Raw genomic sequence first — 13,733 nt, 5'->3', positions numbered from 1 at the left:
AGGGGGCATAAGTTTGTATTTTATTTCTGAAAATACAGTTTTTAAAAAGTCCATCCTTCTTCATATGCCTCATTATCAAACTCTGTATTCATATCATTATACCATACTAGAAAACGAAAAAAATTTTATTGCTTAATACTTTTTTCTGAACAACAAAATATCATAAACACTTAATTCTGGAATAGTTTTCATTTTTATTTTTATTTATTTATTTATTTATTTATTTATTTATTTATTTGAGACAGAGTCTCGCTCTCGGCTCACTGCAAGCTCCGCCTCCTGGGTTCACATCATTCTCCTGCCTCAGCCTCCCAAGTAGCTGGGACTACAGGTGCCTGCCACCACGCCCAGCTAATTTTTCTATTTTTAGTAGAGACAGGGTTTCACCATGTTAGCCAGGATGGTCTCGATCTCCTGACCTTGTGATCCACCTGCCTCAGCCTCCCAAAGTGCTGGGATTACAGGTGTGAGCCACCGTACCCAGCCTGGAATAGTTTTTGTTATGCAATAATAATACATGTTCATTGTAGAAAAATTAGAAAATAGAGAATCAAAACAGAAGAAACTTAAAATCAACTATAATTCCACATCCCAGAGATAATTAACACAAATTTTTTGGTGAATATCTATCCTAATGTATGAATTAATATACAAATATTTTTCACATAAAAGTGCTACATATATTGTTCATAACAATATATTTTTCATTTAACAATTTTTCACTTAACAATTTTCTACAGACATCTTTCCAAATGACTGAGTAGTCTATTTTTAACAGGTACATAATACTGTATAGATGTACCACAATTTAACTATTTCTTTACTTTTTAGACACTTAGATTGTTTCCTTGTATTTTTTTTTTTTTTTTTTTTTTTTTTTGCTAGTATAAAGCACTGTGATAATTAAACATCCTTTTGTGGCCAAGGTAACAGGAAAAAAAAAAAAGGAAGAACCAGTCAAGAATTGTGAAAATTGATACCTAGAAATCTAAAGGTAAAAGAAAAAAGAGATGGTGGATAGGAAAAAGGCCTAAACCAGATTATTACCAAAAGATATACAGTGATTCTTCAAGGTCTATCACTGATACATGCATAATTGGTCTGAATGGTGACATCTGAATTAGCGTGTATAAAATCTAAATAAGAATAAAAGATTTTTGTAGGCCATAAACACTGAATTTCAAAAACCAAAATAGTAATGGGTTCATTAAGCTGAGGCCAATTTCCTTTTACATACTACTCATTAATATTCAGGAGAATAAAAAAGTTTTCAGGTCAAAGCCATTTGTATCTATGCAAAAATGTACCACTAAAATGTAAAACAACTTGTATCTTTAATTACCAATAAAATAAGTTATTTATATGAGTGTTTCCTTAGAACACTGTTTTAAAGAATTATAAAATCTTCTTTTGGTTATTATCAGAAAAAAAAGTTTGACTAATGGCAGTGATGGTATACATATATACACAGCAAAGTTCCACTGGTAAATCAAGTCAAATCAAATATCAAACATTATAAAAATCCTAGGGAAGGTTTGCAAAGAAAAAGTAGAAAAAAAAAGTACCACCTACTTTCATATCAATCTATAACTAAGTTAATGTGTAAAATAGTTTTGTCCTTATTATTAGAATTCAAAACTCAAAAGTCATCCCTAAGTTCACAGGGAGAAAAAGGGAAATTAAAATCAGGTTATTCTGTTGCCTGTGGGCAGCTTGCCTTGAAAAAATTAATTGTGAGAAGTTGACAGGGTAGATCATAAACAGAACTATAAAATCTTCTTCTTCTTATCAAAATGACATGTTCTAAATTGCCACACATTCTCTCTTCTTTATTCACATTATTACTGAAAACACATCAGTATAAGTTGTATATCTACCCAAATATTATATTAGACAGATACTTTAATATGTTTGATTATTAAGTTATAAAGTTTAAAACATCTGGGAAGAAAAATTTCAAGAATTTATTACTCTTTAGCACATACTTATTACATGGTAAAAAGAAATTCTGAGCAATATCAATTTAAATTTGGTGATGAAGGGAAATCAACACAAGTATAGTCAAGATTTCTGAAAGGCAACCAAGTTATTTTCAAGAAAACTTAGTGAAGTAATTATCAGACTCTGATTATCAAAAGTAGTAGTACGATAAAAAAAAAATTTTTTTGGTTGGCCATAGTAAAAAATCAATACAAATTCAAAGAAGCAATGTGTATTTTATAAAAGGAATAAGAAGCACTTACTTTTCTCTCATAGCTTTGGCGTTTTTTTCATTAACTACCCCAATTGGTTTGGAAAGATCTCGAAATACAGCAGGGTTATTAAGGTCCAACTCTTCCGAAGTATAATCTTGTAAAATCCAGGGAAACTAAAAGAGCCATAATTTACAATTTAGACATTCCTTCCTAGAGAAGCTAATATCCTCATATCTAATATCAAATGGTTATCTAAAGACAAAAAGGGATAGTCTCTAAAAATATTTTTTCCCTGTTGTAAATATCCATTCATCTTTAGTTCAATAACCAGAAGCATTATTTCCTATAATTCCACTGGAATCTTTTCTTTTCTTTTTTTTTGAGACAAAGTCTTGCTCTGTCACCCAGGCTGGAGTGCAGTGTCATGATCTCGGCTCACTGCAACCTCTGCCTCCTGAGTTCAAGCGATTCTCCTGCCTCAGCCTCCTGAGTTGCTGGGATTACAGGTGTGCACCACCACGCCCAGATAATTTTTGTATTTTTAGTAGAGACGGGGTTTCACCATGTTGACTAGGCTCGTCTCAAACTCCTGACCTCAGGTGATCCACCCGCCTTGGCTTCCCAAAGTGCTGGGATTACAAGCATGAGCCACCGCACCTGCCCCACTGGATATTTTCAAGGAAGTGAAAGAAAAAAGGCTTTTATTTAAATTAGTTTTCATGTTTATATACTTTTTGAAAATAACTGGGTAGAAAACATACAGAAAGGCCAAAGTGTTTTTATATTTTTTAAATAAAAAATAAGTATCATGTATATACTTATGTGATTTATAAAACTGTAGGGCAATTCCACATTTATAAGGTTTATGCAAAACTTACCACAGGATACTGTGCAAGGTCATTATAGGTTCGTCCTGCCATTGTATTTATTTGAATGAGGTAGTCAAAATTTGATATCTCTCTGTTTACCCATTTCTAGACAGCACAAAAAAGAGCAATATCAAAATTTAAAAATCTACATCTCTTAGACATTGGTAGCTATTACTGACAGTACCAAGAATGGGCTAAAAAAAAAAAAAAGGTACAACAGGGAGATAAATCAATATACTTTTCCTAAATTTACTTCTTTTAAAATATTGGTCTCTAAAAAAGGAACAGAAAATTCAACATAAATCTTATACCACAGTCTAGGTCTTGATAAAAATTCTTTCCTAAAAAAAAAAAACCTTGTCTTTTCTTCAATTACATGTTTTATTTGAATACCTTAAAATTTTTATTTTATTTATTTATTTATTTCAGAGAAATGGTCTCACTTTGTCACCCAGGCTGGAGTGCAGTGAAGCAATCACAGCTCATTACAGCCTCAAGCTCCTGGGTTCAAGCTATCTACCTGGCTTAGCCTCCCAAGTAGCTAGGACTAAAGGCATGCCCTATTACACTGGCTAATTTTTTAAACTATTTGTAGAGATGAGGTCTTGCTTTGTTGCCCAGGCTGGTCTCAAACTCCTAGCCTCAAGTGATGCTCCTGGCTTGACCTCCCAAAGCATTGGGTTTACAGGCATATGCCACCATGCCCAGAATAAATGTCTTAAAATTTCACATTTTATTTTATTATTTCATTTTTTAAATTACTTTTTTATTTTTGAGATGGAGTTTCACTCTTGTTGCCCAGGCTGGAGTGCAATGGTGTGATCTCAGCTCACTGTGACCTCTGTCTCCAGGGTTCAAGTGATTCTCCTTCCTCAGCCTCCTGAGTCGCTGGGATTACAGGCACCCACCACCATGCCCAGCTAATTTTTTGTATTTTTAGTAGAGATGGGGTTTCACCATGTTGGCCAGGCTGGTCTCGAACTCTTGACCTCAGGGGATCCACCAGCCTTAGTGCTGGGATTACAACTGTGAGCCACTGCATGTGGCCTAAAATTTCGAATTTTAGGACTATTCCACTTAGAAATTTTTGTTACAAATTGAAATTTTCATAAGTATGCATATTAAAAAACAGTGTCTTGATATATTAAAACTATCCAACTATTTTAATGAAACATTACATTAATTATCCTCAGAGGATACTTAGGTGTAGCCCAATTGTTCTTGAGTGCCAAGTTGAGGGATCAGCACTTAAAGAATAAAGTTTATTGCAGAGGCAACAGGAAACGTACTTTATTAAATAAAACTTTTTTCACTGGCAATAGTAAAGAATTGCTGATGGGTCTTGAATAAGGGCAACACTTAAGAAAGATTAATGTGTTTGTGGGAGGAAGGAGACAGCCAGGAAGCAAAGACCCTGATTAAGAGACTACGAACAGTCCTGGAAAGCCAAAAACAACGGCTTTCCTTTGCGTCCTGGCAGAACAAATCCAAGTGACACTGGGATATAAATAAGAATATAATTCATGAGAGCATTAATTCACTTTGGCTGGTAGGAGAATTGGCATTTTTTGGCCCTTTCCAGGCCCTTTTTAAACCTCATGCATTGATTATTTTTATTATTAAGATTTTAAAACCCATGTTATTATTATTATTATTATTTGTGACAGAGTCTTGCTCTGTCGCCCAGGCTGCAATGCAGTGGCACGAATCTTAGCTCACCACAACCTCCGCCTCCCCGGTTCAAGCGATTCTCCCACCTCAGCCTCCCGAGTAGCTGGGATTACAGGCGCCCGCCAACATGCCTGGCTACTTTTTGTATTTTTTAGTAGAGATGGGGTTTCACCATGTTGGCCAGGCTGGTCTTGAACTCCCAACCTCAGGTGATCCGCCTGCCTCAGCCTCCCAAATTGCTGGGATTACAGGCGTGAGCCACTGCGCCCAGCCTTATTTTTTAAAAAGAGAAAATTATTAACGGATATACCCATGAACTGAATGATACAGGAGGTGGCAGGGAGGGCACTGTCTGTGTGAGGGAAACAAAGGAAGATTCAAAGATAATTCAAAAGATCAGTCTGAATGGAAGAACAGCAGTTGTAAAAATCAAAGGAAAATCAGAAGAAGTCAAGTTTTACTTAAAATGAAGAGCAGAACAGTTCATTAGAGACTATTACAATTTCCTACCTGTGTCAATCCTGATGCTTTGAATAACTCCTGTGGTGATCTGCTTCCATAATAACTATTTGGGGAATGAAGTGACAACAGTCGGCTATATATTTTGTTTCTAACCTATAAAAAACAGCATTTTATACTTTAAAAATGAATCAAGACAAACTTGGAAGATTATGGTAGTCACAATAGCTGTATTGAGAGACAATTCACCCTTTTAAAGTATACAACTTAGTGTTGTGTGTTTTGTTTTGTTTTGTTGAGACAGTCTCTGTTGCCCAGGCTGGAGTGCAGTGGTGTGATCTTGGCTAATTTTTTTGTATTTTTTGTAGAGATGGGGTTTTACCATGTTGCCCAGGCTGATCTCAAACTCCTGGACAACAAGTGATCCTCCCACCTCAAGCTCTCAAAGTGCTGGGATTACATGCATGAGCCACCACACCTGGCTTCAGTGGTTTTTTTTTTTTTTTTTTTTTTTACTATATTCAAACAGTTGTGTGACTATCACCATTATCTAACTTCAGAAATTTTTTATCACCTCAAATAGAAATCCCATAGTCACTAACAGCTACTTCTCAATTCTGCCTCCTTCCCATTCCCTGACAATTATTAATCTAATTTCTGTCTCTATGGGTTTGCCTGTTCTGGACATTTCATATAAACAGTAGATTATGGTTTTAATTACCCTATTGTACTTGCTGAAATCAAGCTATGTATGTTTACAAAAATTATCATGTATAACGGAAATATTATTAGACTTGGAATTAGAAAACTTGCTCAAGTATACTTCAAATTTAGTTCTGCAATTTACTAATCATCTTGGCAAATAAATTAAATTAAACATAATACCTATCCTTATAGTACTGTGAATTATTCAGGGCTATACAAATGCAAAGTTATAAAATTCACTTATAGTTTCTTTAACTATTAAAAAAGGAATAATGGAAATTGCCTTTTTTTTTTTTTTTTTTTTGAGATGGAGTCTCGCTCTGTCACCCAGGCTAGAGTGCACTGGCGTGATCTCGGCTCACTGTAACCTCTGCCTCCAGAGTTCAAGCAATTCTCCTACCTCAGCCTCTCGAGTAGCTGGCATTACAGGTGTGCATCACCATGCCCAGCTAATTTCTGTATTTTTAGTAGAGATGGGGTTTCACCATGTTGGGCAGGCTGGTCTCAAACTCTTGACCTCGTGATCCAGCCACCTTGGCCTCCCAAAGTGCTAGGACTATAGGCGTGAGCTATCGTACCCAGCCAGAATCTGCCTTATTTATTTACCTATTTTGGAGACAGAGTTTCACTCTTGTTGCCCAGGCTGGAGTGCAATAGCGTGATCTCGGCTCACTGCAATCTCTGCCTCCCAGGTTCAAGTGATTCTCCTGCCTCAGCCTCCCAAGTAGCTGGGATTACAGGCATGTGCCACCACGACCAGCTAGTTTTTGTATTAGTAGAGATGGTGTTTCACCATGTTGGCCAGGGTGGTCTCGAACTCCTGACTTCAGGTGATCCACCCGCCTCGGCCTCCCAAAGTGCTGGGATCACAGGCGTGAGCCACTGTGTCTGGCCAAATTTGCCACATTTAATCTCATGGTTGTTATAAAGATTAGCTACTTTATAGAAATGTACTTTAAAGACAATAAAGTTATACAAACACCCAGTACTTAGCAGGGGCAGACTTAGTTTAATTACATGACACAGCTTTCCATAAAACACATGCTTTGTATTTTCCTATGAAGGAAAACTTTCTTGTAACAGTAAAAAGACTTTTGTAAAACTAGAAGAATGGTCTTTAAACATCTTAATCAAATCCATCAATAAGTCAACCTGGGTTCCACAGAAGAATGGAAAATTAGTTATTGTGTGTGCTAATGTGAGTCTTCTGAAAAGCAGATGCCAAGACACAATTAAAATGCGAATATTTTACTAGGGGAGACGCCTACGAGAGAAAATGGGAGAGCTATGCAAGGTGGGGAGAGCTGTCAAACTGTAATAATACCTGTCTGACCTCAAGTGAATGAGAGAGGGGAGGAAGGCCGGGCCCAAGCATTCTCAGTAATGAGCCCAAGCTTACACAGCTACTGGTGGAGACAGTACACGGACCCTGGTAATGTGGCTTTAGAGCATATGCACTTAACAACTTACATTACTTAAGAATTTACTATATTCCTAGAAGAAATAGATTCCTCATTATTTTTTAATTTGAAACCAATCTAATTTTATAAATCTTGTCATAGCTTACATATTGTATATTACATCACAAGTGAATGTAGTGAGGCACTAAAAATTCTACTTTATCTAGCCATATATATAAAAACTGAGCTCCCCCAAAACTCAAACGTATATAAATCTCAACAAAAATTCATACACTGATTAGCCCCCAAAGTATGTATTTTTTCCTCTAACATTTTGTCTTGATAAAAGAATACAGCCCAAAGTTCCATTAGAGCTCACTAGCTGGAAACGTATTTAAAGCTAGCATTTTGGGATTTCCTGAAACCATAATACATACCTCTTTTTTGAAATTGAGAAAGTAGTTGGATTGGTCAACATGAAAAATCTCAAGGGCTGATCTTCTTAAATTGTAACGCCGGAGATGAATCTCTCGAATTTGAGAATGAGGCCACTTGAAATCAAAGCCTACTCCTGAAAACGGAAGAAATCTTGTGACTGAGATACCATATAAAGTTACTCATGCTAAGTAGAAAATACCTCTTAGTTCTTGACAAAAGGTTTTAGGAAAAAGGAATTCAATTTCTGTACTATATAAACCATTTGTTAAATGTGTTGGATATTTAAACTGGTTCTTTTAAACTATTTTAAAGTTCTATAACTATTCTACTGCCTTCCCATTAGAATACAATATAATTCTGAATACATCTCAGAAACAGTTTTCCTTTTCTCTGTATGCTGGCATCTTAGATTTATTCATCCTTTTATTATCACATAAAGGATGACATGAGAAGCCTATAGGAATAAGTACACATACAAAGGTATGATAAAATGAAGACTATATTAGGTTGGGTGCAGTGGCTCACACCTGTAATCCCAGCACTTTGGGAGGCTGAGGTGGGCAGATCACATGAGTTTGGGAGTTCGAGACCAGCCTGACCAACATGAAGAAACCCTGTCTCTACTAAAAAAAAAAAAAATACAAAATTAGCTGGGCGTGGTGGCACATGCCTGTAAGCCCAGCTACTCGGGAGGCTGAGGCAGGAGAATCGCTTGAACCCGGGAGGCAGAGGTCTCAGTGAGCCGAGATCGCACCATTGCACTCCAGCCTGGGCAACAAGAGTGGAACTCCATCTCAAAAAAATAATAATAATAAACACTGTATTTTGTAACTTAAGTTTACAGCAATTCCCTCTAGCCAAACCCTTAAAAATGCATTGATAATTTTTAAAAAGCATTCCCTTCCACACCTTGGTGAATAACAAATTTGACCCCTTACTGACTTTCCATTTCTCCCTTCACATGATAGTTATATCTTACTGCTTTCTTCTTCTCATTCATGATTGATAAATTAGATACTTAATTATTGAACAGCAAAAATTATTTTTTCCAGAACTCCTCACCATCTTCTTTTTCAATGCTGCCATCATAGAAGTAAATGTGTTGAGTAGTGATTTCTAATCTGCCAGGAATTACATCAATTATTGTAATGAGTTCACAGTCTTCCATCAATACCAATTTTTCTTTTTGATCCTGTTCTTCTTTCTCATCACTGTAAAAACAAGAAGCCAATAAACAGAAAAATTCAACCATTTATTTTTCTTAAATAGAAAAGAATGCCACATTTAAATATAATCTCTTTTTTTTCTTTTTTTTGAGACAAGGTCTTGCTGTCACCCAGGCTGGAGTGCAGTGGCACAATGTCGGCTCAATCACTGCAACCTCTGCCTCCTGGGCTCAAGCAATCCTCCCACCTCAGCCTCCCAAGTAGCTGGGAATACAGGTGCATGCCACCATGCCCAGCTAATTTTTATATTTTTTATAGAGGTGGGGTTTTGCCATGTTGCCCAGGCTGGTTTTGATCTCCTGAGCTCAAGGGATCCACCCACCTCGGTCTCCCAAACTGCTGGGATAATATGCATGAGCCACTGTGCCTGGCCTCAAATATAAATCACTTATCTGTCAAATTAATGTCCAGGAAAGAATATCTGAATTACCCTCAAGAAGTATTCTGCATATTAAATTACTTAAACAGTATCCAAATATTTTTATTACTCAATGATTCAGTTTCATTAAAAATAAGCTTTACATCCTGATTTTATATGACCCATTATAATAAAACACAGTGAACCTGTAAAACAATTAGCAGAGGACAGCTGAAAAATAAGGCAATATTGGTCATGTCATTTTAGTTATATTCTGGGAGACATGAATTGACCCACAAAATACAGGAATCTGTGACTAAGACTGCATTGTAGTGGTGTTTGTAAATAATAATTAGAAGTACTAAATATGAATCTTAAACTATAAAATGAGACTTTCAAGAGTAACTAAAACTAGAGAGCATTACCATCATAGCATTCCCCTAACAAGGGAACTAGAGATAATGCAAAGAGCTACTATTGCCATACCTTACTTAAAGTGAAGTCACCATATATTAGGAGGAATATTATTTATATTTGCTGGAGGAAGTAACTGGAGAGACAGTCTTTTGGTGGCCTAGGTGACTTTAACTGCCAAGTATAGAAATAGGAGCTCCTGGGTGGGCGCGGTGGCTCACGCCTGTAATCCCAGCACTTTGGGAGGCAGAGATGGACGGATCACCTGAGGTCGGGAGTTCAAGACCAGCCTGACCAACGTGGAGAAACTCCGTCTCTACTAAAAATACAAAATTAGCCAGGCGTGGTGGTGCATGCCTGTAATCCCAGCTACTTGGGAGGCTGAGGCAAAAGAATCGCTTGAATCTGGCAGGTGGAGGGTGCGGTGAGCCAAGATTACGCCACTGTACTCCAGCCTGGGCAACAAGAGCAAAACTCCATCTCAAAAAAAAAAAAAAAAAGAGAAATGGGAGCTTCTACCACTCACAGAATGTTATTCAAGTAAATCTTTTAAGCCAGCTAACTCTCTGGTCCTAGACATTTCATATCTGCCTCATGTCCAGGGTACCAATGACTAAGTCTAATTTTATTTTTAGTGGGTTTCCATGAGAAGTTCTGTATCACCATTTTAAGCTTGCAATGTTGCAATCATTTATTTAAAACTAAGCTTTTCTTTTTTTAAAAAATAATTACTGGAAAGAATGTTTTCCCAAACACTGAAATACTAATATTTACAGTGATAAATAGAGCCATGAGTAACCCTAAAAAAGTAAATAGTCTGAGGGTTATTTATATTAAATGACAAAAAGTATTTTGGTTCTTCAGTGTAAAACAAATGAGTCTGACATCCATTAAATTCACTAGTCATCAAAGAAAGAAAAAAAAAATCCCAATTACAAAGCCAACTGAGTATCTACCAAGATAGTTCCCTATATAACTGCCCCTACCCAGTACCCTGAAAATAATAAAGGAAATCTAAAAAAAATTACTGAACTAATACAAGTAAAAGTCCTGATTATGCCACCAAAGGATACTACTGAATCTAGTCAATTTGTAATATATATATATTTTTAGATGGGGTCTCACTCTGACACCCAGGCTAGAGTGCAGTGGTGCAATCTTTTTTTTTTCTCTCAAAGATTGTACAAAGTTTTATTTGACATGCCAAAAAAGGAAAAGTTAGTTTTTAATCACATGTATTAATATAATAGGTATAATCTATTAATAAATTTATAAACTTCTATAAAGCAATTAAGAAAATAAACTGAGGAACAGACTGAGTAAAAATATGCACAAAACATCTGAAAAAATTCTTGTATACAGAATATATGAAAATATCCTACAGTTGAATAAGAAAAAAGACAACCAATTAAAAAATGGGCAAAAGACTTGAACAGACATTTCACAAAGGAAGGGTCACCAAACACATAAAAAAGAACCCAACAACTATACATAAGGGAATTGCAGATTAAAACCACATCGAGAATGATCATAACAGCTTTATTCAAAATAATCCCAAACTGAAATAACCCTGGAGATTAAAGAAATTGTGGTATATTTAAACAACAAATACCACTCATCAATAAAAAATAATGAACTACTGATATATACAGTTGTGTTTCCTGAGTGAAAAGAACTGGGAACAACAGAAACATGGTATGATTCTATTTATATGAATTTCTGGAACCGGTAAAATTAATCTGTAGTGGAAAAAAGTCTAAATTGCCTTTGGGAGGATGAAGGAGGAAGGATTGATTGGGAAGAACACAGAGAATTTTCTGGGGAGAAGGTGATTTCAGTATCTTTTTGGGGTGAGGGTTATAACACAGGTTATGAGTATTTGTCAAGATTCATAAAATTCTACAGTTTTTAGAATATATAAAAAGAATATAAAATTATTTTTATATTTTACTGTTTGTAAATTTTACCTAAAGAAAAAAGGACTTTAAACAAAATTGAAATCTGTTTGCTTTTTTGCAGTGGAATGAGTTAGCAACTAATGATATGAGTTAAGCAATTCTTAAAGCACTTTCTGTGTATTCTAGGCTTGACTAAATAAGTAGGCTTATTCAGAGTAATGGTATCCAGGTTTTTCACCTGTGGAGAAGGAGTTACAAATATGTTAAAGAGAAAGTCTATATTTATTTATCTGTTTATTTCTTTTTTGAGATGGAGTCTTGCTCTGTCACACAGGCTGGAGTGCAGTGGTGCAATCTCAGCTCACTGCAACCTCTTTCTCCCAGGTTCAAGAGATTCCCCTGCCTCAGCCTTCTGAGTAGCTGGGATTACAGGCACTCACCCCCATGTCTGGCTAATTTTTGTATTTTTAGTAGAGACTGGGTTTCGGGTTTCATTATGTTGGCCAGACTCAAAACTCCTGACCTCAGGTGATCCGCCTACCTCGGCCTCCCAAAGTGCTGGGACTGCAGGCGTGAGCCACCGCACCTGGCTGAGGAAGACTATATATATATTTTTTGTGAGACTTGGTCACTGCTCTATTTATTTGAATACAATGTTGTGCTTTTTGATATTATATTAATTTGCTACAGTATTGAAGTCCTACATGTAATCACTTATTATCAAACAATATATTTTTGTTAGAGAAAATCTGATAAAATCACTGCAATCTTGCTTCATTGTAACCTCCACCTTCCAGGCTCAAACATTCCTCCCACTTCAGCCTCCCAAGTAGCTGAGACCAAAGGCTCACATCACCATGCCAAGTTAATTTTTTGTATTTTTGGTAGAGATGGAATTTTGCCATGTTGTCCAGGCTGGTCTGGAGATCCTGAGCTCAAGTGATCTGTCCACCTCGGCCTCCCAAAGTGCTGACAAATTGAGGGCCACCATGCCTGGCCCTCAATTTGTAATATTAAAATGAGCTTCAAAGAAATATTTGCCATATGTAGTTTATAATGTAAACAAATAATATATTTGGGACATAGCTACTCATTCTTGGCTGAATATGTGGCTTTATCAACATAGAAAGTTAAATATTAGGCTGGGTACAGTGGCTCACACCTGTAGTCCCAGCACTTTGGGTGGCCAAGGTGGGAGTATCACTTGGGGTCAGGAGTTTGAGATTAGCCTGGCCAACACGGTGAAACCCATCTCTACAAAAAATACAAAAAATTAGCTGGGCGTAGTGGCACACACCTGTAATTCCAGCTACTTGAGAGGCTGAGGCACGAGAATCACTCGAACCCAGGAGGTGGTGGTTACAGGGAGCCGAGATCGCGCCACTGCACTCCAGCCTAGGTGACAGAGTAAGACTCCATCTCAAAAAAAAAAAAAAAAAAAAAATCAAATCAAATCAAAACAAAACAAAACCCCCAAAACTCACATTAGGGCAGATATACAAATCATGAACTTCAAAGGTAATCCCTAAGCCATGTACAGATCCACTGGCAAAGGATGGCAGTCTTACTGGATCAAGGGGTTTGTTTATTTTAGAGATGGGCGGGTCTTGCTTATTTATTTATTTATTTTAGAGATAGGGTCTGGCTCTGTCACCCAGGCTTCACTGCAGTGGGGTGATCATAGCTTACTGCAGCTTTCAACTCCTGGGCTCAAAGTATCTTCTTGCCTCAGCCTTCCCAATAGTTAAGACTATAGGCACACACCACCACCATGCTGGCTTTTATTTATTTATTTATTTATTTATTTATTTATTTATTTATTTATTTATTTATTTGAGACGGAGTCTTGCTCTGTCACCCAGGCTGGAGTGCAGTGGAGTGATCTCAGCTCACTGCAACCTCCGCCTCCTGAGTTGGAGCAATTCTCCTGCCTCAGCCTCCTGAGTAGCTGGGACTACAGGCACGTGCCACCATGCCTGGCTAATTTTTGTATTTCTAGTAGAGACAGGGTTTCACCATGTTGGCCAGGATGATCTCAATCTCCTAACCTTGTGATCCACCTGCCTGGGCCTCCCAAACTGCTGGGACTACAGGCGTGAA

General features: G+C 36.8%; 1 protein-coding gene across 12 annotated transcripts in view; it reads right to left on the bottom strand.

Moving 5' to 3' along the window:
• NBEAL1 (neurobeachin like 1) overlaps positions 1-13,733 on the bottom strand; it is a 210,587-nt gene that overhangs the window by 50,098 nt on the left and 146,756 nt on the right. For all 12 annotated transcript variants that reach the window (XM_011511658.4, XM_047445554.1, NM_001378026.1 and 9 more), the window contains 5 exons: positions 8,800-8,948; positions 7,737-7,870; positions 5,246-5,350; positions 3,074-3,169; positions 2,244-2,368 (listed from right to left, as the gene is read on the bottom strand). In XM_011511658.4, coding sequence (XP_011509960.1) covers positions 2,244-2,368; positions 3,074-3,169; positions 5,246-5,350; positions 7,737-7,870; positions 8,800-8,948 — 609 coding nt within the window. The remainder of the gene's footprint in view (positions 1-2,243; positions 2,369-3,073; positions 3,170-5,245; positions 5,351-7,736; positions 7,871-8,799; positions 8,949-13,733) is intronic.

This window comes from Homo sapiens, chromosome 2, assembly GCF_000001405.40.
Source record: "Homo sapiens chromosome 2, GRCh38.p14 Primary Assembly".
Lineage (NCBI taxonomy): Eukaryota > Metazoa > Chordata > Mammalia > Primates > Hominidae > Homo > Homo sapiens.
Note: the sequence above shows the minus strand (reverse complement) of the source record. Positions and strands in the feature narration are given on the sequence as shown.